The 22,844-nt window shown below is 55.6% G+C and overlaps 1 protein-coding gene across 8 annotated transcripts in view, besides 5 other annotated features; it reads right to left on the bottom strand.

The window, feature by feature from the left end:
* FBN3 (fibrillin 3) overlaps positions 1 to 22,203 on the bottom strand; it is an 84,191-nt gene extending 61,988 nt beyond the window's left edge. For 4 of the 8 annotated variants that reach the window (XM_017027375.3, XM_017027376.2, XM_017027373.2 and 1 more), the window contains exons 1-18: positions 21,358 to 21,480; positions 19,925 to 20,108; positions 19,715 to 19,797; positions 18,738 to 18,836; positions 18,454 to 18,549; positions 17,488 to 17,583; positions 14,551 to 14,748; positions 14,328 to 14,453; positions 11,023 to 11,175; positions 10,752 to 10,934; positions 8,999 to 9,142; positions 8,801 to 8,920; positions 8,572 to 8,697; positions 5,595 to 5,717; positions 4,165 to 4,440; positions 3,846 to 3,899; positions 1,851 to 1,976; positions 1,639 to 1,764 (exon numbers count right to left, since the gene is read on the bottom strand). In XM_017027375.3, the coding sequence (XP_016882864.1) occupies positions 1,639 to 1,764; positions 1,851 to 1,976; positions 3,846 to 3,899; positions 4,165 to 4,440; positions 5,595 to 5,717; positions 8,572 to 8,697; positions 8,801 to 8,920; positions 8,999 to 9,142; positions 10,752 to 10,934; positions 11,023 to 11,175; positions 14,328 to 14,453; positions 14,551 to 14,748; positions 17,488 to 17,583; positions 18,454 to 18,549; positions 18,738 to 18,836; positions 19,715 to 19,797; positions 19,925 to 20,091 (2,296 nt within the window). In that variant the 5' untranslated portion in view covers positions 20,092 to 20,108; positions 21,358 to 21,480. Of the gene's footprint in view, positions 1 to 1,638; positions 1,765 to 1,850; positions 1,977 to 3,845; positions 3,900 to 4,164; positions 4,441 to 5,594; positions 5,718 to 8,571; positions 8,698 to 8,800; positions 8,921 to 8,998; positions 9,143 to 10,751; positions 10,935 to 11,022; positions 11,176 to 14,067; positions 14,194 to 14,327; positions 14,454 to 14,550; positions 14,749 to 17,487; positions 17,584 to 18,453; positions 18,550 to 18,737; positions 18,837 to 19,714; positions 19,798 to 19,924; positions 20,109 to 21,357; positions 21,481 to 21,616; positions 21,734 to 22,059 lie in introns of those variants that run through there. The other 4 variants (XM_017027379.2, NM_032447.5, XM_017027372.2 and 1 more) reach the window with 4 other exon arrangements.
* Positions 1,418 to 1,919: an enhancer, noted in NCBI's record as "H3K4me1 hESC enhancer chr19:8193691-8194192 (GRCh37/hg19 assembly coordinates)". NCBI's record gives its function as "activates a minimal SCP1, AML or CMV promoter by ChIP-STARR-seq in naive H9 embryonic stem cells {active_cell/tissue: H9 hESC(naive)}" and the evidence as "EXISTENCE:reporter gene assay evidence [ECO:0000049][PMID:30033119]".
* Positions 14,022 to 14,523: an enhancer, noted in NCBI's record as "H3K4me1 hESC enhancer chr19:8206295-8206796 (GRCh37/hg19 assembly coordinates)". NCBI's record gives its function as "activates a minimal SCP1, AML or CMV promoter by ChIP-STARR-seq in naive H9 embryonic stem cells {active_cell/tissue: H9 hESC(naive)}" and the evidence as "EXISTENCE:reporter gene assay evidence [ECO:0000049][PMID:30033119]".
* Positions 15,828 to 16,372: an enhancer, noted in NCBI's record as "H3K4me1 hESC enhancer chr19:8208101-8208645 (GRCh37/hg19 assembly coordinates)". NCBI's record gives its function as "activates a minimal SCP1, AML or CMV promoter by ChIP-STARR-seq in primed H9 embryonic stem cells {active_cell/tissue: H9 hESC(primed)}" and the evidence as "EXISTENCE:reporter gene assay evidence [ECO:0000049][PMID:30033119]".
* Positions 19,418 to 20,389: an enhancer, noted in NCBI's record as "H3K27ac-H3K4me1 hESC enhancer chr19:8211691-8212662 (GRCh37/hg19 assembly coordinates)". NCBI's record gives its function as "activates a minimal SCP1, AML or CMV promoter by ChIP-STARR-seq in naive H9 embryonic stem cells {active_cell/tissue: H9 hESC(naive)}" and the evidence as "EXISTENCE:reporter gene assay evidence [ECO:0000049][PMID:30033119]".
* Positions 20,390 to 21,360: an enhancer, noted in NCBI's record as "H3K27ac-H3K4me1 hESC enhancer chr19:8212663-8213633 (GRCh37/hg19 assembly coordinates)". NCBI's record gives its function as "activates a minimal SCP1, AML or CMV promoter by ChIP-STARR-seq in naive H9 embryonic stem cells {active_cell/tissue: H9 hESC(naive)}" and the evidence as "EXISTENCE:reporter gene assay evidence [ECO:0000049][PMID:30033119]".
* Positions 22,204 to 22,844: the final 641 nt, after the last annotated feature.

The raw sequence follows: 22,844 nt of genomic DNA on the forward strand, positions 1-22,844 counted from the left end.
ACAACACAGAATACATCAGTGATCAGACATGGGGTTTTTTGTTTGTTTGCTTTTGCCAAGCTGCCCAATTCTCCGACACCAGCAGGGTGCCCTATAATTCAATTCTGACGCTTTCTGCCTGGAGTTAAAGTCTGACTCCACAGGTTGAGGGCTCAGTCCCACAAGACTGTCTTCCACACCAGATGCCAGTTGCAAATCGGGGCCTCCAGAATTTCTGCCTTCTCCTCGGGCTTGATCATCCGCTAGAGGGGCTCACAGGACTCAGGGAAATACTTAACTTACGTTTACTAGTTTATTATAAAGGATATCACAGGCTGGGCGCTGTGGCTTACGCCTGTCATCCCACCTCTTTGGGAGGCAGAGGCGGGTGGATCACTGAGGTCAGGAGTTCGAGACCAGCCTGGCCAACACGATGAAACACCATCTCTATTAAAAATACAAATTAGCTGGGCGTGATGGCACACGCCTGTAGTCCGGGCTACTTGGGAGGCAGAGACAGGATAATCTCTTAAACGGCGGGAGAATTGCTTGAACCCAGGAGGTGGAGGTTGCAGTGAGCCGAGATCGCCCCATTGCACTCCAGCCTGGGTGACAGAGCGAGACTCTGTCTCAAAAAGATAAAATAAAAAAAATAAAGGATATTACAAATGATGAACAGCCAGATGGAAGAGATGCACGGTGCAGGGTATCTGGGAGGAGATGTGGAACTTCCGTGCCTGCTCTCGGCATGCCGCCCTGCCAGCACACAGATATGTCCATCCACCTAGAAGCTCTCCAAACTCTGTAGTTCGAGTAGGACTTCTGGGATGTGTGTATAACTGTGTGCCCCTGAGTGTGTACAACCATGTGTGACTGGGACTGCAAGTGTGGGAAGTGTGAGAATGAGTGTATGGGCCAGGTGTAGTGGCTCGCGCCTATAATCCCAGCACTTTGGGAGGCTGAAGCAGGTGGATCACTTGAGGTCAGGAGTTCGAGACCAGCCTGGCGAACATGGTGAAACCCTGTCTCTACTAAAAATACAAAAATTATCTGGGCTTGGTGACGGACGCCTGTAATCCCAGCTACTTGGGAGGCTGAGGCAGGAGAATCGCTTGAACTAGGAGGCAGAGGTTGCAGTGAGCTGAGATCGTGCCACTGCACTCCAGCCTGGGTGATAGAGCAAGACTCTGTCTCAAAAAAAAAAAAAAAGAATACGTGTGTATGTAAATGTGAGTATATATGTGTCTTTGAGTGTGTATGTGTGAATGTAGGTACATATGCAAGTGTCTTTGAGTATGCATGTCTGTGTACACATGCACACAGCATGTCTGAATGTGTGTCTGTGTATACACGGCATGTGCAGCGTGTCTGGGTGTATGTATGCATGACACATGCAACGTGCATGTCTGAGTGTGGTTGTGTACAGGATGTTTCTGAGCGTGTGCATGTGTGTCTTGTGTACACACCTCATGCAACATGTGAGTATCTGAGCGTGTGCATATATGTGTGTGTGCACACTACATATAGCATGCGTGTGTGAATAGAGGTAACATGTAAGCATCTTTGAGCGTGTGCATGCCTGTGCGTGCACACGCCACATGCCAAGTATGTTGGAGCATATGTGTGTGTGCAAACCCACGTGAGCCCGGGACCCAGTACCTTTGCAGATCTCCGTGTCCTGCCAGAAGTGGAAGCCGGGGGGGCAGGAGCAGCTGTAGCTGCCAGGGCTATTCTGGCACCACCCGTTGTCACACAGGAGGCTGTTGAGGGCACACTCATCCACGTCTGTGGGGTGGGGGTGGGAGAGAGGGGTGAGGGGTCTGCAGTGGGAGAGGCTGCCCACACATCCGCCCGCCAGGTGGCATGCTCACCTGTGCAGTCCTTGCCTGAGGCACCTGCCTCATAACCCAGGTTGCAGACACAGCGGTAGCTGCCCCGAAGGTTCTCGCACACGCCATTGGCACAAACCTCAGGATCCAGAGCACACTCGTTGATGTCTGCGGCAGGAGGAGGGTGTGTCAGCAGCAGCAGAAGGAGGGTGTGTCCGAGGCAGGAGGAGGGTGTGTCGCGGCGCACCAGGGGTCTCTAGAAGTCAGATTCCCCAAGGCCATAGCTCCAGCCCAGACCCGGCCTCATTCTGCTCTAAACCGAGGTTTCTCAGCCTGGACACTGCTGACATTTGGGGCCAGATCATTTTTTGCTGTGAGGGGCCATCCCACGCATTTTAGGATGTCGAGCAGCTCCCGTGGCCTCCACCCATGAGATGTCAGTAGCACCCACCGCCCCAGTATTACTCCAGACATTGTCAAATGACCTCGGTGGGGCAGGGGCCAAATTATCTCCAGTTTGGAAATAGTGGAGCAGACATCCATACAGTGGCACTGTCATAAAAATAAAAGCAATTATAGGCCAGATATGATGGCTGTCACCTATAATCCCACCACTTTGGGAGGCTGAGGTGGGAGGATTGCTTGAGCCCAGGAGTTTGAGACCAGCCTGGGCAACATAGCGAGACCCATGTCTATAAAAAGCAATTTTTTTTTTTTTGAGATAGGGTCTCACTCTGTCGCACAGGCTGGAGTGCAGTGGTGCGATCTCGGCTCACTGCAACCTCCACCTCCCTCGTTCAAGTGATTCTCATGACTCAGCCCCCCAAGTAGCTGGGATTACAGCCGCCTGCCACCACGGCTGGCTAATTTTTCTATTTTTAGTAGAGATGGGGTTTCACCATGTTGGCCAGGCTGGTGTGGAACTCCTGACCTCAAGTGATCCACCTCCCTCAGCCTCCCAAAGTGCTGGAATTACAGGCGTGAGCCACCGCATCTGGCCATAAAGTAAATGTTTTAAAAATTGGCTGGGCATGGCAGCTCGTGTCTGTAATCACAGCACTTTGGGAGGCCAAGGTGGGTGGATCACTTGAGGCTAGAAGTTTGAGACAAGCCTGGGCAACATGGCAAAATCTCATCTCTACTAAAAAAAAAAAAATACAAAAATTAGCCGGGCATGGAGCTGCATGCCTGTAATCCCAGCTATTTGGGAGGCTGAGGCAGGAGAATTGCTTGAACCCAGGAGGTGGAGGTTGCAGTGAGCCAAGATCACGCCACTGCACTCCAGCCTGGGTAACAGAGCAAGACTCTGTCAAAAAAAAAAGAAAGAAAGAAAGAAAAGAAAGAGAAAGAAAGAGAGAGAGAGAGAGAAGGAAAGAAAGAAAGAATGAAAGAAAGAAAGAAAGAAAGAAAGAAAGAAAGAAAGAAAGAAAGAAAGAAAGAAAGAAAGGAAAGGAAAGGAAAGGAAAAGAAAAGAAAAGAAAAGAAAAGAAAAGAAAAGAAAAGAAAAGGAAGAAAAACAAATGAGCAGGTCATGGTGGTGAGTGCCTGTAGTCCCAGCTACTCAGGTGGTATCACTTGAGCCCAAGAGGTCGAGTTTGCAGTGAGCCGTGATTGCACCACATCACTCGAGCCTGGGCAATAGAGTGAGATCTCACCTCTAAAAAAGGGTGGGGGGAGTTTTGGACACAGACACGCATACAGGGAGAACACCATGTGAAGATGGAGGCAGAGATGGGGTGACGCCTCTATGAGCCAAGAAATGCCAAAGATTGCTGGAGCCACCACCAGAAGCTGGAGAGAGGTCCGGGACAGATTCTCCCTCAAAGCCTCCAAGGGAACCAGCCCTGCCCGCACCTTGATCTCCGACCTCTGGCCTGCAGGAGTGTGAGAGAATCAGCTTCTGTTGTTGAAGCCGTCTGGTCTGGGGCACTTTGTTACGGGAACCCCGGGCCAACTCCTACAGCCTCCCACCACAGCTCTCCCCACATCTGGTAGGGGCAGGCTGGCTGCTGTTTGGAGGGGCTGGGCTCCACTTACCTCGACCATCCGTGGTAATGCCAAGCCCACTGCTGCACAGTGCCTGGAACTCAGCTGGGGATGGAGGGACAGAGTGAGACGGGTCAGGGAGCTTAGCCATGGCTCGGATTCAGCCACAGGCAAGGATGAGGCCCTCTGGTCTTGGGCAAGAGTTTGGGACTAAGACACAACTCCAACCCCGGGGAGGGAGCAACTCCCTTCAGCCTCTTTTTGGGAAGAGCCCCCACTCCATGGCAGCCATGACCCCCCACCAGAAGCGAGAACCGATGGAGGCATTCAGACCAAGGAGGCGATGGGGACCGGGCAGCCGGATGCTCACCGGAGTCTTTGGCAGGACAAAGCTGGCAGGGCTCCCCAAAACCGTGGTCCGGATTGGCACAGCAGCACTCGGACTTGGTGACAGTGCCAGGGAAGGGGCGGGCACAGGAGCCCTTCTCGATGGCCCCATAGCAGGTGCTGCGCACGTGGGTGTCCACGCACACGCGGCCATCCGTGCCTACCGCCAGCCCCCCCAGGCACTGGCAGCGGAAGGAGCCCTCGGTGTTGGTACAGTGGCCGTTCACGCAGATGCCGGGCGTCTGGCACTCGTCAATGTCTGCAGAAGCAGTGGCGGCACGGGGATGGGTTCCAGCGTGCTCCCTTCCTCTCTCCCCTCCCCATCTCCCAACATTTCCATCTTCCCAGCCATTCTATTTCTTTCCTTTCCAGTTTCTTGTCTTTCCAGTTTCCTGTTGTCTGTGTCTCTGTCCTCTCCTCCTCTTGTCTCCTTCCTCTTCTCCTCTCCCATTATTCCCCATCTTTCTATCTTTCTCTCCACCTTTAAACAAATTTTTTAAACGCAGGGTCTGACTTCCAGACTGGAGTGCAGTGGCGTGATCATAGCTCACTGCGGCCTCCAACTCCAGGGCTCAAGTGATCCTGCTGCCTCAGCCTCCCGAGTAGGAGGGACTACAGGGGTTCATCTCCATGTTCGGCTAATTTTTAAAAATTTTTTATAGAGACGGAGTCTCATCATGTTGCCCAGGCTGGTCTCAAACTCCTGAGCTCAAGTGATCCTTCTGCCTCAGCCTTCCAAAGTGCTGGGATTACAGGTGCATGCTACCATGCCCAGCTAATTTTTTTTTTAGGTAGAAATGGCGTCTGACTATGTTGCTCAGGCTGGTCTCGAACTCCTGTCCTCAAGTGATCCTCTAACCTCAGCCTCCCAAAGTGCTGGGATCACAGATGAACCTGGCCCCTCCCCACCTTATAATGCATCACTTTTTTTTTCTTCTGAGACGGAGTCTCACTCTTGTCACCCAGGCTGGAGTGCAATGGCGCGATCTCGGCTCACTGCAACCTCTACCTCCCAGGATCAAGTAATTCTCCTGCCTCAGCCTCCCAAGTAGCTGGGATTACAGGTGCCCACCACCATACCTGGCTAATTTTTGTATTTTTAGTAGAGATGGGGTTTCACCATTTTGGCCAGGCTGGTCTTGAACTCCTGACCTCAAATGATCCATCTGCCTCGGCCTCCCAAGGTGCTGGGACTACAGGCGTGAGCCACGGCACCTGCCTCTTCTTTTCTTCCTTTTCTTCTTCTTCGCTTCTCCCCTTTTCCCTCCTCCTCCTCTTTTTCTCCCTGCCCCTTCTCTTCTCCTTCTCTCATGCTCGTCCCATCCCCGTCCGGTCCCTCTCCTCTTCCTCGCCGTCCCTCTGCTTCCCCATCTCCCTTCTCCCCTCCGCTGGCCAGTCTGGCTCCAGGCTCACCCATGCAGTAGTGGCCGCCAGGCGCCAGCAGGAAGCCGGGTTTGCAGAGGCAGGAGAAGCTGCCATCCTCGTTGAGACACACGCCGTTGACGCACATGGTGCTGGTGGCACACTCGTTGTGGTCTGGGGACAACAGCAGAGGCTGGGTCCAGGCAGGGACCACACTGGGACCCTCTCTCTCCCTCCTCCAGGCTCCAGGGCTGACCCCCCAGGATCCCTCCCTGGAGTGTGGGAGGCAAACAAGCTGTGGTTGTCTGTGACTGTGTGAGCTTGTATATTAGTCCGTCCGCTGGGACGTTGAGTTCCCCGGGGCACGACCCCTGTCTTACTCAGGCTGCAATACAGTAGGTGCTGCATAAATAATTGCTCAAAGCTGAATAAACGTGGTGGTTTTTGCACAACATTGGAAATTTATTAAATATCAGTGAATTGTTCATTTTAAAATGTTTAAATATTTTTTAAAAGACAACAATTTTTTTTTTTTTGAGACAGAGTCTCGCTCTGTCGCCCAGGCTGGAGCACAGTGGTGTGATCTCAGCTCCCTGCAACCTCCGCCTCGCGGGTTCAAGCGATTCTCCTGCTTCAGCCTCCTGAGTAGCTGGGATTACAGGCATGTACCACCACGCCCGGCTAATTGTTTTTGTATTTTTAGTAGAGACGGGGTTTCACCATGTTGGCCAGGCTAGTCTTGAACTCCTGACCTCGTGATAAGCCCGCCTCGTCCTCCCAAAGTGCTGGGATTACAGGCGTGAGCCACCGCGCCCAACCTCTTGTTCACTTTTAAATGATTAAATTTAGGTTGTGTGAATCTTACTTCAATTTCATAAAAAGGAAATGGAAATAAAGTTAGTAAGACCATGGTCTAATTTAATGGAAGGTGGCAGGGGCAGAAATGAGTTGTTTTCCAAAATGTCAGTTTTAAACAATAAAGGACTGAACATACATTTAAAAAAAAAAATGTGGCTGGGTGCGGTGGTTCACGCCCGTAATCCCAGCACTTTGGGAGGCCGAGATGGGCAGATCACGAGGTCAGGAGATCGAGACCATCCTGGCTAACATGGTGAAACCCCATCTCTACTAAAAATACAAAAAAAAAAAGAAAAAAAAAATCAGCCGGGCGTGGTGGTGGGTGCCTGTGGTCCCAGTTACTCGGGAGGCTGAGGCAGGGGAATGATGTGAACCCGGGAGGTGGAGGTTGCAGTGAGCCAGGATCACGCCACTGCACTCCAGCCTGGGTGACAGAGTGAGACTCCATCTCAAAATAAATAAATAAATAAAATAAATAAATGCATGAAATGCCACCACAAAAATATGCACATGAGCATTCACAGAAGCATTATGCCTAACAGCAAAAAGTGAAAACGAACCAGTGTCCTACTGAATGGATCGACACACTGTGGTCTATTCATGTAATGGAACATTATTCGGCCATGAAAAAGAATGAAGAAGCCAGGTATGCTGGCTCATGCCTGTAGTCCCAGCTACTCAAGTGGCTGAGGCGGGGACATTGCTTGAGCCCCCCAGGGCCCCTCCCTGGGGTGTGGGAGGCAAAGAAGCTGTGGTTGTCTGTGGCTGTGTTTGCTTGCATATTAGTCTGTCTGCTGGGATATGAGTTAAAGTCCAGCCTAGGCAACACAGTGAGACCCAATCACAAAAAAATAAATACATGGCCGGGCGCAATGGCTCACGCCTGTAATCTCAGCACTTTGGGAGGCCAAGGCGGGCGGATCACCTGAGGTCAGGAGTTCGAGACCAGCCTGGCCAACATGGTGAAACCCCATCTCTACTAAAAATACAAACGTTAGCCGGGCACAGTGGCGCACACCTGTAATCCCAGCTACTCAGGAGGCTGAGGCAGGAGAATCACTTGAACCCGGGCAGCAGAGGTTGCAGTGAGCCAAGATGGCACCACTGCACTCCAGCCTGGGAGATAGAGACTCAAAATGAATAAATGAATAAATATATAAATAAATATAAATATATATATTTTACATATATATATATATATTTTTTGAAACAAGGTCTAGGTCTGTCACCTAGGCTAGAGTGCAGTGATGCAATCACAGCTCACTGCAGCCCCGAACTCCTGGGCTCAAGTGATCCTCCTGCCTCAGCCTCCTGAGTAGCTGGGACTACAGGCACCTGCCACCATGCCAGGCTAATTTTTGGGTTTTCTGTAGAGACAGGGTCTTGCTGTGTTGCTCAGGCTGATCTTGAACTCCTGGCCTCAAGCGATCCTCCTGCCTTCCAAAGTACTGGGATTACAGTTGTGAGCCACCAAGCTTGGCATAAAAAAAAATTTTTTTTTTTTTGAGACTGAGTCTCTCTCTGTCACCCACACTGGAGAGCAGTGGTGTGATCTTGGCTCATTGCAGCCTCCGTCTCCTGGGTTCAGGCAATTCTCCTGCCTCAGCCTCCCGAGTAGCTGGGATTACAGGTGTCTGCCACCACGCCCAGCTAATTTTTTTGTATTTAGTAGAGATGGGGTTTCACCGTGTTGGTCAGGCTGGTCTCGAACTCCTGACCTCGGCCTCCCAAAGTGCTGGGATTACAGGCGTGATCCACTACACTCGGACTTCTTTTTTTTTTTAGGAGATGGAGTCTCGCTCTATCAGCCAGGCTGGAGTGCAGGGGCACGATCACAGCTCACTGCAGCCTCAACCTTTTCAGCTCAAGAGATTCTCCTGCCTCAGCCCCGCAAAGTGCTGGGATTACAGGCATAAGGCACCAAGACTGGCTCCAAAAGGTCCTTTTTTGTGATTCACGGAATAAATTCAGGAAGGAGGAAATGAAGGGGAGAGTCAGGGTGGTCAGGGGATAAGAAGAGTCTCAGGTGGGCTGCTGGGTTCAGAGGTGAGCAGAGGAGACGTCGTAGGGAGGGAGGTGGGTTTGGGGGCACAGTGAAGATTTGAGGTGGCTGTAAAAGGCAGCTAGTGGGGCCCGGAAGCCCCTGCCCACCCGCCCACCCCCAACTCACCCACACAGTTCTTGCCGTCAGGGCTGAGCTCGAAGCCTGCATTGCAGACACACTGGAAGCTGCCCTCTGTGTTGACACAGCGGCCCAGGTGACAAAGGCCACCACTGACAATGCACTCGTCCACATCTGCGGGGAAGGCAGGCGGGCAGTCAAGAGGTGCTCCCCACCCTCCAAGCCTGGGCCAGAACCCCCAACAACATCACCCCTACTCTTGGATGGACAGCCGTACCCACGCATGCCTGCCTGGTGGGCGTGGCCTGGAAGCCCGGGTAGCACCGGCAGTGGTAGGTGCCGGGGATGTTGACGCAGTCACCGTGGTGGCAGGGGCTGCTGGTGCATTCGTCTACATCTGAGGGGAGAGGACCCTGAGCCCTAGCACGAGCAGGGCAGTGAGAACCGCCCCCCCTTCCACCTGGCCGCGGCTCACCAATGCACTCGCCGCGCACGTCCTGGGTGTAGCCCACGTTACACTCGCAGCGGTAGCTGGAAGGCGTGGGCAGGCAGCGGCCATTCAGACACAGGTTGGTGAAGTGTCGGCAGATGTCAATGGTCTGGTTCAGGGTAGCAGTGCCTACGGGTGGGGCCGGCAGAGGCATCTGAGCAGTGGCTGGCCCCGCCCCAGTCTGGAGCCTGGGCTTCACCTCTCTAGGCCCAGATACCCCCTCTAAGGCTGGGACCCTGCCCTGGCTCAGATCCTGCCCTCTTTCTCATGGAGAGTCCTGCCTTAGATTCAGAACTCCAACCTGGGATCTAGATCCCTCCAACCTGGGACCTAGATCCCTCCAACCTGGGCCTGGATCCCTCCAACCTGGGGCCTGGATCCCTCCAACCTGGGCCTGGATCCCTCCAACCTGGGGTCTAGATACCTCCAACCTGGGGCCTGGATCCCTCCAACCTGGGACCTGGATCCCTCCAACCTGGGCCTGGATCCCTCCAACCTGGGGCCTGGATCCCTCCAACCTGGGCCTGGATCCCTCCAACCTGGGGTCTAGATACCTCCAACCTGGGGCCTGGATCCCTCCAACCTGGGGCCTGGATCCCTCCAACCTGAAGCCTAGATCCCTCCAAACTGGCACCTCGATCCCTTCAACCTGGGACCTGGATCCCTCCAACCTGGGGCCTAGATCTCTCCAACCTGGTGCCTAGATCCCTCCAACCTGGAACCCAGATTCCTCCAACCTGGTGCCTAGATCCCTCCAACCTGGAACCCAGATTCCTCCAACCTGGGGTCTAGATCCCTCCAACCTGGGGCCTAGATATCTCCAACCTGGGGCTTAGATCCCACCAACCTGAAGCCTAGATCCCTCCAACCTGGGACCTGGATCCCTCCAACCTGGGCCCTAGATCCCTCCAACCTGGGGCCTTAGATCCCTCCAACCTGGGGCCTTAGATCCCTCCAACCTGGAGCCTAGATCCCTCCAACCTGGAGCCTAGATCCCTCCAACCTGGGGCCTAGATCCCTCCAAAATGGAGCCTTAGATCCCTTCAATCTGGAGCCTAGATCCCTCTAACCTGGTCCCAGAGATGCCCAGACTCCCACTCTGGGCCCAAATCCTCATTATGGGGCAAGAACCCACCCCAGGCCTAAATCCTACATGACAGACCCCCACACCAGGCCCAAACTCCCCACCCAAAGCCCGAACTCTGACTTATTTATTTATTTATTTATTTATTTATTTATTTTTAGAGACAGGGTCTCACTCTGTCACCCAGGTTGGAGGGCAGTGACACAATCACAGCTCACTGCAGCTTCCAACTCCTGGGCTCCAGCAATCCTCCTGCCTCTTCCTCCTGAGTGGCAGGGACTACTGGTGGGCATCACCACACCTAGCTAATTTTCAATTTGCTGTAGAGACAGGGTCTTGCTATGTCACCCAGGCTGGTCTCGAACTCCTGGCCTCAAGTGATCCTTCCACCTCGGCCTCCCAAAGTACTGGGATTATAGGCATGAGTCGCTGTGTCCAGCCCAAAACCTAACTCTGAGGACCAGATTCTCCAGTTACCTCCATCCCCATCCACTACTAGCACTGTCATCCCTACTAGCCAGGCCAGGAGTTCCCCCTCCAAAGCCCTAACCCTCTCTCTGAGGCCTGGACACCGTCCCCTGTTTGGAGCTCTCTCCCCAGATCCAGGACCATCCTTCAAGTCTTGGAATGTTCCTCCCAAGCCCCAGGCCTCACCAATATTAGAGTTGCCAGGGCCCAGGCTGGGGATCCCACGCGCATCAGAGCCATGGGGGTTGAGTCGCGCTGGCCCAAGAGGGGGACCCATGCCATTGGATCCGAAGCCCAGGAGGCCAGGGAAGAGGCCAGGGTGGCCGGGTAGCAGCGGCAGCCGCTGGGCGCACAGTTGCTGGAATTCATCTGCAAGGAAGCAGGGTTGAGGCCAGGCCCTTGGCCCTCCCCTGTCCCCTCCTCACCCACAGCCCTGCAGGCTGCAGCTCTTACTCACTGGAGCCCCGAGGAGGACACAGCTCAGGGACCGGGCCAGCTGCCCAGCACCTGCCCCTGTCACAGCAGCACTGCCTGCGAGTGTAGTGGCCGGCGAGGTCTCCAGCACAGCGGCCCCCGAAAAGCACTGAGAAGCAGGCGCCGGCCCGGTAGTCTGCAAAAGATCAGAGGGTGAGCCCATGAGCACAGGACATCAGTGACCAGACCTGGATCCAAATTCCAGCTGTAGCAGCACTGCCTGTAGGACGGGTCTGTTTGCCGCTCTGTGCCTCAGTTTCCTCTCCATAAAATGGGGATGCTTGGAGCATCCACCTCACCCGGGAAAAGTATTACCTGGATGAAAAGTCTGACATAGTCCAGATGCAGTAGCTCACACCTGTAATCCCAGCACTTTGGGAGGCTGGGGCGGGAGGATCTCTTAAGGTCAGGAGTGCAAGACCAGCCTGACCAACATGGCGAAACCTCATGTCTACTAAAAATACAAAAATTAGCCAAGGGTGGTGGCAGGCACTTGTAATCACAGCTACTTGGGAGGCTGAGGCAGGAGAATCACTAATTGCTTGAACCCAGGAGACAAAGATTGCAGTGAGCTGAGATCATGCCACTGCACTCCGGCCTGGGCAACAGAGCGAGACTCCGTCTCAAAAAAAATAAAGGGCCGGGCGCAGTGGCTCACGCCTGTAATCTCAGCACTTTGGGAGGCTGAGGCGGGTAGATCATGAGGTCAGGAGTTCAAGAAGAGCCTGGCCAACATGACGAAACCCAGTCTCTACTAAAAATACAAAAATTAGCCGGGTGCGGTGGCGCACACCTGTAATCCCAGCTACTTGGGAGGCTGAGGCAGGAGAATCACTTCAACCTGGGAGGCAGAGGTTGTAGTGAGCCAAGATTGTGCCACTGCACTCCAGCCTGGGCCACAGACCAAGATTCCGCCTCAAAAATAAATAAATAAATAAATAGAAAAGTTTGACATATGGCCAATGCTCGCTCAGTGCCATCTCTTGTTACCAAGATTCCAAGTTATCGCACAGAGGTAGTGAGCTCCCCGTCGCTGCAGGCATCCAACCACACTAAGGAAGACCCATTGGCGGGGAAGGACTACCCCAGTGGGATACCAGGCAGGGACACGGAGATCTGCAGCTGTGTGTCTTTGCTTGCTGGCTTCAGGCATTATGCAGAAGCCTACGAGACTGTGAATTTCAGAGAGGGGCCCCAAGGAGTCGAGGGGTGGATTGACGGCTACAGCCCCCGGGGTGACTGAGGCAGACAGGCTCCCCAGGTATGAGAACCACCAACACTCTTCCACTTCCCACTGCGCCCTCAAGGTCAATGGCTTTATGCAGCGATCAGATTTCTCAGGCTCTGGCTTAAAGAGCATATTTTTAGGCTTAAAAATGCACAAACCTTGGCTGGTGGCCCACAGTTTAAAAAACTCCTCCCAGCAGCTGGGAGGGCCACTGAGAGCCACCCCTGACCTGCCCCGAGCTGGGAAAACATGCAAATGTTTCTACCTCCCTGGTCCCCTCCCCTTGCACCTGGGGGCCCCCCAGGTACGTGCGTGGGAGTCAGGGTTTTTCGTTCTCAGCCTTATCATAGCCCCTCAAAGGGGACTGGGCCTGCCCAGACGAGGAGAGATCAACAGACTCCTCCAAAGTCACACAGCTGCAAAAGCAAGAGGAGGACGGGAAACTCGATTTCCCAATCTCAGGGGACCCAACAGGCAACAGTCCCTCAAGCAAGAGAGACAGAATATAAGAATTTCAACAAAAATGCTCAGCCACAGTGGCTCATGCCTGTAATCCCAGCACTTTGGGAGGCTGAGGCGGGTGGATCACCTGAGGTCAAGAGTTTGAGACCAGCCTGGCCAACACAGTGAAACCCCGTCTCTACTAAAAATGCAAAAATTAGCCGGGCATGGTGGTGGGTGCCTGTAATCCCAGCTACTGGGGAGGCTGAGGCAGGAGAATCACTTGAACCCCGGAGGCGGAGGTTGCAGTGAGCCGAGATCGTGCCATTGCACTCCAGCCTGGGGGACAGAGTAAGAATGTGTTAAAAGAATTTTAACAAAAATGATCCTGTCATTGCTGTAAGTACATACTGTGAGCTAAGTGGCCACAGCCCCAACATTACCTGGTGTCCATGAATGTGTATTAAGTATCCTCTAGGTACCAGCCCTCTGCAAATTACTCCCCAAATGATATCTTACTCAATCTTCATTGAGCTAGGTACTGCTATTATCTACCATTTTACAGATGGGGAAACTGAGGCACAGAGCGGTTAAGTCACTTGCCCAAGGCCACAGGGTCTGTGAGCAGCTCTGGGTGGGAGCCCCAGACTGATTCCAAAGCCTATGTTCAGAGGCTGGTTTGTCCAATCCAAGGACTGGTCTTTAGCAGCTGAGAGAGGACCCCCCGCAGTCCAGGGGATGTATCCACAGCTACCCCCAATGCCAGCTGTGATGGCCCCCAGTGGTGGAGACCTAGAAAGTCTGGAGTTGGCCAGCCGGGCGCGGTGGCTCACGCCTGTAATCCCAGCACTTTGGGAGGCCGAGGCGGGCGGATCACGAGGTCAGGAGATCGAGACCATCCTGGCTAACACGGTGAAACCCCGTCTCTACTAAAAAAATACAAAAAAATTATCCGGGCGTGGTAGCGGGCGCCTGTAGTCCCAGCTACTCGGGAGGCTGAGGCAGGGGAATGGCGTGAACCCAGGAGGCGGAGCTTGCAGTGAGCCGAGATCGCGCCACTGCACTCCAGCCTGGGCGACAGAGCGAGACTCCGTCTCAAAAAAAAAAAAAAAAAAAAAAATTAGCTAGGCGTGGTGGCGTGCGCCTGTACTCCCAGCTACTTGGGAGGCTGAGGCAGGAGGATCTCTTGAACTGGGAGGCAGAGGTTGCAGTGAGCTGAGATCACACCACTGCACTCCAGCCTGGGTAACAGAGTGAGACTCTGTCTCAAAAAAAAAAAAAAAAAAAAGAGAGAGACAGACAGCTGAACAAGGGGTCTCTCTCCTACCCACTCTCTCCCGCTCCAGCCCCTCGGTTCACTCAGGCAGTGGGTGCCATCCAGGCTGCTGGCAAAACCTTGGGAACAGGTGCACACGTAGCTCCCGACAGTGTTGGTGCAGTCACCCCCAGAACAGAGGCCGGACAGGCTGAGACACTCATTCACATCTACATAAACAGGGACAAGGTCAGAACTGGGCACCTCACCAGCCTGACCCCTCTGCCTTCCTGCAGGGGAGCCTGAGCCCCCCAGGTCATGAGTCACAGAGGAGGTCTCAGGTTGTCCCCCTCCAGTCACCCACCTTCACATGCGGCGCTGCTGTCACTGAGCCGGTGTCCAACTGGACAGCGGCAATGGAAGGAGCCCACCATGTTGACGCAGCTGCCTCCCTGGCACAGGCCTGGCACAGCCTGGCACTCATCCACATCTGCAAGGACAAAGCCCGGCAGGGGAGTGAGAGGCCCATCGGAGGGAAGAACCAAGGCAGCTAAGGCCTCCCACTCAGCCCTGACCCCACTATTCACCTTGGCAGGCCCCCGTGTGGATATTGGGGATGAAGCCGCGGCGGCAGGGGTGTGGCTGTGCAGGGCAAAGTTCACATGGAAGGCCCCAGGCACGGCCCACAGTGGCACAGCAAAGTGCCTTGGTGCACACGAGGCCCGTCAGCTGATGCTGGCACCCCTCGGGGCCTACTTGGCCAAAGCAGGGTCCCGTCCGGTAATCTGCAGGGCAGACAGATGTGGGTACCTGGCTGAGGGCTGCCCCTGTCTGGAGATCTCTGCGTCTCTAACACCTTCTCAGCGGCCCCTGCACCCACAGACCAGGCTTTACTTATGCTGCTCCCTTACTAAATAGAATATCTTTCCTCCCCTTTCCCTACCTAACGAACTCCTATTCACCCTTCAAAACCCTTTTTCTTCAAAGCATTTCCTGACCAACTTCCAAGAGACCAGCACCTCCAAGCCAATAAAGCTCAGGGCCTGTGTGAACACCCTGTCTGAACTGATGGGACTCCTTCCCCAGGCCTATCCTCCCTTCAGGCCTGGGCAGGGACCCACGGATGCCCAGCTAAAAAGCATGTCTAGTCCTTGAGCACACGCCTGGCCCTGCCATATCGCCCAGATTTGGGGAAGGATCTGTTATCTGCCTAAATTCTCTGGACCCCCAACATCACATCCCCAATCCCCATCAGGCCCAGCCCAAGGTGACCGCATTGGTTCCCCCAACCCCAGTACATGAGCCCAGATGTGACTTCTTGGCTCTCTTCTCCCAGATGTTTCCAATAAAGGAGTTAGCTCTCAAACAAGGGCAGCCGCTCCCAAGAGAAGAAGCCAAACTCACCCCCAACTCAGGCCCCGTAAGGAGGAGGGGCTTCACAGAGACCCCCACCCCCCAGCTGTCCTGATGCCCCAAGCCAAAACGTAATTCCTGGCAGCTCCCCCACTCCCCCTCCCCCTCACTCTTCTGCCACCCAGAGCTTGGCCCGCCTCCAACAAGCCCATGTTCTAATTCTGCAGTTTCCAGAAGCCCACCCTCAAACCCAGGTCACTTCCCCAGCCCCTCCAGCTTCTAGTCCCCGGGTCGTGCCCATCCTCACCTTCCTGGGCTGAAACACCACATTAGGCACCCAGATGCCTCTGCATCTGAAAATCTCACAAGCCTGGATGTCCCTGACGCCACCCACTCCGGTTCTCTTTCTCTTTCTCAGCCTCCTGTGGGCTCGGTTTTTTCTGTCCAGGCTTAAATGCCCAGGTGGCTGTCTCTGCTGGCCCTTCCTTCTCTCACGGGGATCCTCAGCGGCACCCTGGGCTTCAGTCCCCATGGATGGGGCAGCCCACGCCGCCATCTCAGCCCCAGGCCTGAGTGTCCAGCTGCTTCCCAGACAACTTGCAAGTCCCTCGGCCAACACTGAGCTCAGAGTCCTCCTCCTCCCTGCCAGGGTGCGCCACTACCTTCCCTCCAGTTTTCACCAGGTCTTGGGTTCATCCTGACTCCCTCCTTCTTCTCTCCCCGTCCCTGCCACACCTCACTGCTCACAAGAAAGACATCACTGTGTCCGTTCTCCTTTTTTCTTTTCTTTTCTTTTTTTTTTTTTTTTTGAGACAGGGTTTCGCTCTGTCTTCCAGGCTGGAGTACAGTGGTGCGATCTTGGCTCACTGCCTCCCAGGTTCAAAAAATTCTCATGCCTCAGCCTTCCAAGTAGCTGGGACTACAGGCACGCGCTACCACACCCAGTTACATTTTTTTGTGTATTTTTAGTAGAGATGGCTTTTGCCATGTTGGCCATGGCTGGTCTCAAACTCCTGGCCTCGAGTGATCTGCCCGCCTCGGCCTCCCAAAATGCTAGAATTGCAGGCATGAGCCACAGTGCCTGGCCTCTTTTCTTTCTTTCTTTCTTTCTTTCTTTTTTTTTTTTAAGAGACAGAGGGTCTGGTTCTGTCACCCAGGCTGGAATGCAGTGGCACCACCACGGCTCACTGCAGCCTTGAACTCCTGGGCTCATGCAATCCTCCCACTTCAGCCTGAGACTACAGATATGCACCACCATGCCAGGCTAATTTTTTACTTTTTTTAGAGAGGGGGGGTGTCTCACTATGCTACCCAGGTTGATCTCAAACTCCTGGTACATCCACCCTCTTAATTTTGGTAACAACCTCTCAGCAGGTGACCCCACCTATCTTAGCCGTCTTAAAAATGGGATCATTTTTAAGAGTTAGGGTGACTGGGTGTGGTGGCTCATTTTGGGAGGCTGAGACAGGCAGATCACTTGAGGCCAGGAGTTCGAGGCCAGCCTGGCCAACATGGCAAAACCTCATCTCTACTAAAATTACAAAAATTAGCTGAGCGTGGGGATGCCTGTAATCCCAGCTACTCGGGAGGCTGAAGCGGGAGGATTGGTTGAACCTGGGAGGCAGAGGTTGCAGTGAGCCGAGATCATATCACTGCACTCTAGCCCGAAAGAGCAAAACTTTGTCTCAAAAAAAAAAGAGAGAATTAGGGTGCAATAAAGAGGGGGTTTGCCCATCTCATGAAGTCCAGTCCACCCTACCAGATCCAGCTGAGGGGTCCCCTCCTCCAGGAAGCCCTCCCTGACTCCCTTCCATGGAGCAGATGGTTTCTCTGTCCTTCACATGCTCCAGGGCTGCCCCAACCCTTGTCTTAGCCTTGACACCCCCAGATAAGAATCTTCTGCTTGCAGTTTCTTCTCCCTGCCCCTCAGACTGGCACATCCTCTCTCTTTCCTACCAGACTCCAACACAGGTGCTCGCTCAGAGCCAGTGAATAGCAGATGTTTTGGAGAACAGATGAGCAAATGAAAGAAATGTCCTCAGACTGCCCCAAATGCGGGAAGGAGGCCAGCTGGTTCCTTTCAAGGCCTGGCCATGTCTCAGGGACTTCCAGGAAACCCCCTTTCCTCCATCGAGTCCCCTGTCTACCTCCCACCCGCGCATGCTTGGTACCTCTCTCACATTGAGGTCCCATGAAGCCATACACACAGGCGCAGCGGTTGGGCCCAATGCAGCGACCCCCATTGTGGCAGCCGCGGTCACAGATGGCTGTGGAGGAGAGAGGGTGATGGCTGGAGGTCCCCCAGCAGCAGAGAGAGCTGGGGTTCACAGCAAGCCTGTCTTCACCCAGGAATCCCCAGGATCTGGCCCAGGTTGAATAAGACTGAGGCTGAGCTGAGTGGCTAGCGCCTGTAATCCGAGCGCTTTGGGAGGCCAAGGCAGGTGGATCACCTGAGGTCAGGGGTTCGAGACCAGCCTGTCCAATATAGTGAAACCCCATCTTTACTAAAAATACAAAAATTAGCCAGGCATGGTGGCCGGCTCTTTTAATCCCAGCTACTCAGGAGGCTGACACAGAAGAATTGTTCAAACCTGGGAGGCGGAGGTTGCAGTGAGCTGAGATGGTGCCACTGCATTCCAGCCTGGGCAACAGAGCAAAACTCCATCTCAAAAAAAAAAAAAAAAAAAAAAAAGGGCCGGGCACGGTAGCTCACGCCTGTAATCCCAGCACTTTGGGAGGCTGAGGCGGGCGGATCACGAGGTCAGGAGATCAAGACCATCCTGGCTAACACAGTGAAACCCCATCTCTACTAAAAATACAAAAAAATTAGTCAGGCAAGGTGGCGGGCACCTGTAGTCCCAGCTACTCGGGAGGCTGAGGCAGGAGAATGGCGTGAACCTGGGAGGCGGAGCTTGCAGTAAGCCGAGATCTTGCCACTGCACTCCAGCCTGAGTGACACAGCGAGACTCTGTCTCAAAAAAAAAAAAAAAAAAAAGAGACTGTGGCAATAAACGTCCCCTGCAATCTCCAGTCCAGGAAGAAGGAACCCTGGGCAGTGGGCAGGTGGCAGCAGAGACTAATACTCTGGGATCACAGTCCCAGGTGTGCAAAGAGGGGAGTCCCATGGGGATACTCACGCTGCCCACACACGGTGCCTGTGTAGCCCTTCTGACACAGACAGGACGCCCCCCGGCAGGTGCCCCCATTCATACAGCTCACACTGCACCCTGACCCTGGGGACAGGAAGGCAGGACGCATAGTAATGTGGAGATGGGCCCCGAGATGCCCTCCTAGGAAGGCTGCAGGACTAGGCATGCTCAGCCCCGCTCCTGTCCTTCAACAAAAGCAGCCCAGGCTCCTCGTGGCAACCAGAACCCTGTGAACTTCTTCTCCCTCCCGCAAGAGGCCGCTTCCCGCTCACCTCGGCTCACCCCGCAGCTGGGAGCCAGCGTCCCATCCGCACAGGTGCACAGGTTGGGCTGGGAGCAGAAGCCTTCACCGCAGGCGCGCCTACAGATGGCTGGATGAGTGCAGCGGGTGGCAGTCAAGACCAGGACCGAGCCTGGGCCGTCCCTGCTCCATTGGTGTCCGGGCTGGCCGGAACACCTCAGTGGACGCTGCTGGTCATCTGCATCCCCGGCTCTGCTCATAGCACACCCCACCCCTGTTTTCATGGGATGTCCCCCCACTCTCGGGCTGGGCTGGGCAGGGTGTGTGACCCAGGCTGTGGGTTGGGGACTCTGCTAGAGCCATGGGGAGAGAATGCTCTTTGGGCCAGAGCTGCTGAGCTGTGAGGACAGAGCTGGAGGTGCTGGGGTCCTGGATACTGAGGTTGGGTGTCTCCTGGGAAGTGGAGTCAGATTCCAGAGACAGAAACAGAAAGAGAGGGTGAGGCCAGAGAGAGACAAACAGAGAGAGACTCAGAGAAACAGAGAGAGAGAGAATCAGTTAGATAGAGAGACAGTAACCAACAGAGAGAGGCCAGGTGCAGTGGCTCACACCTGGAATCCTAGCACTTTGGGAGGCTGAGATGGGAAAATCGCTTGAGGCCAGAGTTTGAGACCAGCCTGAGCAACACAGAGACCCCCATCTCTAAAAATAATAATAATAAAGAAAAGAAACCAACAGAGAGAGACATGAGCAGAGATGAATAGAGAGAGGCAGAGACAAAGCAAGGGAACCAGAGAGACAGACAGACACAAGGAGGTTGTAGGGCAAAGGAAATGAACATGGCAGGTTGGCCTGGAACCCTGAGGACAGACGCAGATGCAAGGGCCATTCCTGTGGTTCAGCCAGAGGTCCCTGGCTAAGTCCCCGTGTAAACAGAGCTGAACCTGCAGGCAGGTAAGAGTGTCCCCGGCCTGTGCCCCCCCACCTCCAGACGGCGGTAGCACTCACGTACGACACACTGGCTCCTGCCAGGGAATGTCCTCCAGCCTGGACAGCAGTAGGCATGGAACCGGGAGCCGCACACATTCGGCCTTCGGGGACAGCGAGATGGGTCTGGTGAGCCCCTGCCCGTGTGGACATCCCCCCGGGTATTCCGCTGGCCCCAGGACAGCCCAATCCACACCGAAGGGGTCTCCCAGCATCCCAGGTACCACGCACCCCTGCAAGATGCCTGGGCTGCCCCGCCTCCGCACACGTCCAGGACCTGCAGCCTCCAAGGCCCCGTCCCAGCGGCCTTGGCCACCTGCCATGCACAACAGGGCCGACCAGGCCAGCAGGAGCCGGGCCAGGGGGCCCCTTGCCAAATACAGACCCTCCAGAGTCATGGCGTGTCCCCTGGAGGCTGCGGAGAGGAAGCAGAGTCAGCCCTAGATGAGCCCCCCACCCTAGCCATGGGGGACCCAACACAACGAGGAGGGCAGGGTGGTTGCCAAATGGGGCAGCCCCGGGGCCTCTGGGAGCCCAAGGAGGCATCCAGCCCCAACCGGGAAGCGGTGAACAGTCAGAGGAGGCTTCCTGGAGGAGGTGTGATGTTAGAGAAGGGTCTTGGGGCTGAGGGTGCACAGCCAAGGCAAGACGGGAGTGGGAAGTGGAAGGGAGGGGAGAGAGGGCCAGGTGGGGCCAGGTGGGGCCAGGCGTTGCAGGAGTGGGCATAGCAGTGTCATGCAGCTTTTGCTCATTCGTCAAGGACAATGAAGAGCCCTTGAAAAGCTTTGAGTGGGAGGAGCAAGGTCAGAAATGCATGTTAGGTGGTGTGGGGAAGGGCAGCAGGGTCCCGGGGGGGAAACAGGGTGTCAGAAGGCTGGGGGCTGTCCAGATGGGAGAGAGAGGAGAGGAATGGGAGGCTCATGTCGTGGGAGGTGGAGGGCATTGAGGAGATTCCCAAAGTTCTAGCTGGGACGGTGGAGCCCAGAGAGCGTCCAGGGTAGGAGGAAGATGGTAAGTCGTGGAAGGCAACAACCCCACTGTCCCTCTGTGACACAGATACCCCCACTCCTGCAATGCCTGGCCCCACCTGGCCCTGTGTCCCCTCGCCTCCACATCCCACGCCGGTCTTGCCTGGGCTGTGCACCCTTAGCCGCAAGACCCTTTTCTAACATCACACCTCCTCCAGGAAGCCTCCTCTGACTGTTCACTGCTCCCAGGTCAGGGCTGGATGCCTCCCTGGGCAGGGGGCCCAGGCAGGGGCTGGAACTTCCCAATGCAGAGAGTAACCCTGTGCCCAGCAGGGAAGGGACCGCTTCTGTGCCCATTTCACAGATGCACAAACTAAGGCCATCACACCATGAGTGAGGGGCTAAGCCGGAGCTTAAGCCCACGAAGAGAAGAAGGAGGGGAAGAAGATCAGGAACGGAACTCGCTCCTGCCCCCCTTGGCTGGGTCTTTCCTGGGCCATGAAGGACGGGAGGGAGAAGACCGGGACAGGAGACGACCGTTTGGAGGGTGGAGGCAAAATACTTGAGGGAGAGAAGCCAGACCAAGTGGCCTTCCTGTTCCATTCAGGTTCCAGGGAGGAAAGGAACCGGCCCTAGGTGGAGAATGGGCGGGGAGCCCTGCTGTGTGGTCTTGGCCACGCCCCTCTCTGGGCCAACCTGGTTGTCCAAAGGCCCCGGAGAAGGGAGAGACCCCTGTCAACGTTGGAGGGTTGGCTGGCTGGAGAGGGGCGCCCTCTTTTTCTTCTCAGTTGTCCGGGTCAGTCCGCACTCTGAGGCTCCGTGGACTCCAAGCAGCCTCGGGGCTTGCAAGCCCTCCTCCCCCACTCCCTCCGCCCCAGCCCCCTGCCTCGGGTCGGGTGGGGGAATTAGGTGGGGGGAGTCTCTGGCCTGATTTGCCTCGGTCCCCCCTACACACCGCTGCTTCTGCGAGCCACACCCTGGAGTTTGTGGAATGAATGAGCAGAGAAGGCGCGCCCGGCACGGGGTGTGGAGGCTGAGGGCCAAACAGCGAGGGATACCAAGCTTCGCCGACGGGGAGGGGGCGCCCCCGGAGCCCGCGGGGCGCGATCTCCACCCGGCAGGGCCCCCGGCCGCGACCACGCTTGGCTCCGCCCTCACCTGTGGGGTCAGGGGCCCCGCGCCCCGGCCGAGCCCCTCCCGCCGGGTCCCCGCGCCCCCACTCCCCACTGCGGCGGGCGCCACTAGAAGGCGGAGAGGGGAGGGGGCTGGGCCCGGGGCTGCCCGGCTGCGAACAAAGGAATCCTCTCCCCCTCCCCCTGCCGGCCCCCCCGCCCCCGCCTTCTCCACCCTTCAGCGCCCGCGATCTCGCCCCGCCGCTGGCCCCGCGCCTTCACCTACCTGCGAGGCGGCGCGCGTGGAGGCGGGCACGGCAGGCGGACGCGCGGGACTCAGCGCTGCAGGGCGGGCTCCTGCGGCGCCGGGGACCCGGGGCGGGAACGCAAAGCCGAGAGGCCGACCCCGCCGCGTTCCCAGCCCAGAGCTGCCACTCGGGGGGGAGTTGGGGGCGGGAGGAGTTGGAGGAGGGCGCGTTTGCACCTCTTAGCTCCCGGGGCGGGGACGGGGGGCTCCGATCCGGGGCGGGGAGAGAGGCTGCGGCTCGGGGGAGGGTCCGGGGCTCCGAGTGAAAAACTCCGATGGACTGGAGGGATGTGAGGGCGGGCTGGGGGCGCCTAGTAGGGGCTGCCGGGGCCGCGTTTTCGGATCGAGACTAAGGTGGAGGTGGGGCTCTGACTTTTGGAGGGCCTGGACGACAGCCTGGGCAGAGAAGTCCCGGGACTCACCTGGGCGGCCCTCTCAGGGCCTCCCAAGCCGCCACCCCCTCCCTCGAGCAAGGAGAATTGCGAGAGTGACGTTGGAAACTCACCTGGCTCTTGGAGCCTGGATTCTTAACTAGGCTGAGATCAGGGGCCCCTAAATATGTTGACAAAACATTGGGCAAAGCTGTATTTCCCAGGGAGAAGGGCCCAGGTTTTTCATCTGGTTCTCAAAATGAAGAGGTTAACAATTCAAACGGTGTAAACTTTCAAATCTCTTTGAACCTGTTTGTCCACCTACCAAAGGGACCAGACAAGAATTTTGGCTCCCTATCTGTTGTCAGTACTCCAAACAAAAATTTCTAGGCT

The sequence above is a fragment of the Homo sapiens genome, chromosome 19, assembly GCF_000001405.40.
Source record: "Homo sapiens chromosome 19, GRCh38.p14 Primary Assembly".
Taxonomy (NCBI): domain Eukaryota; kingdom Metazoa; phylum Chordata; class Mammalia; order Primates; family Hominidae; genus Homo; species Homo sapiens.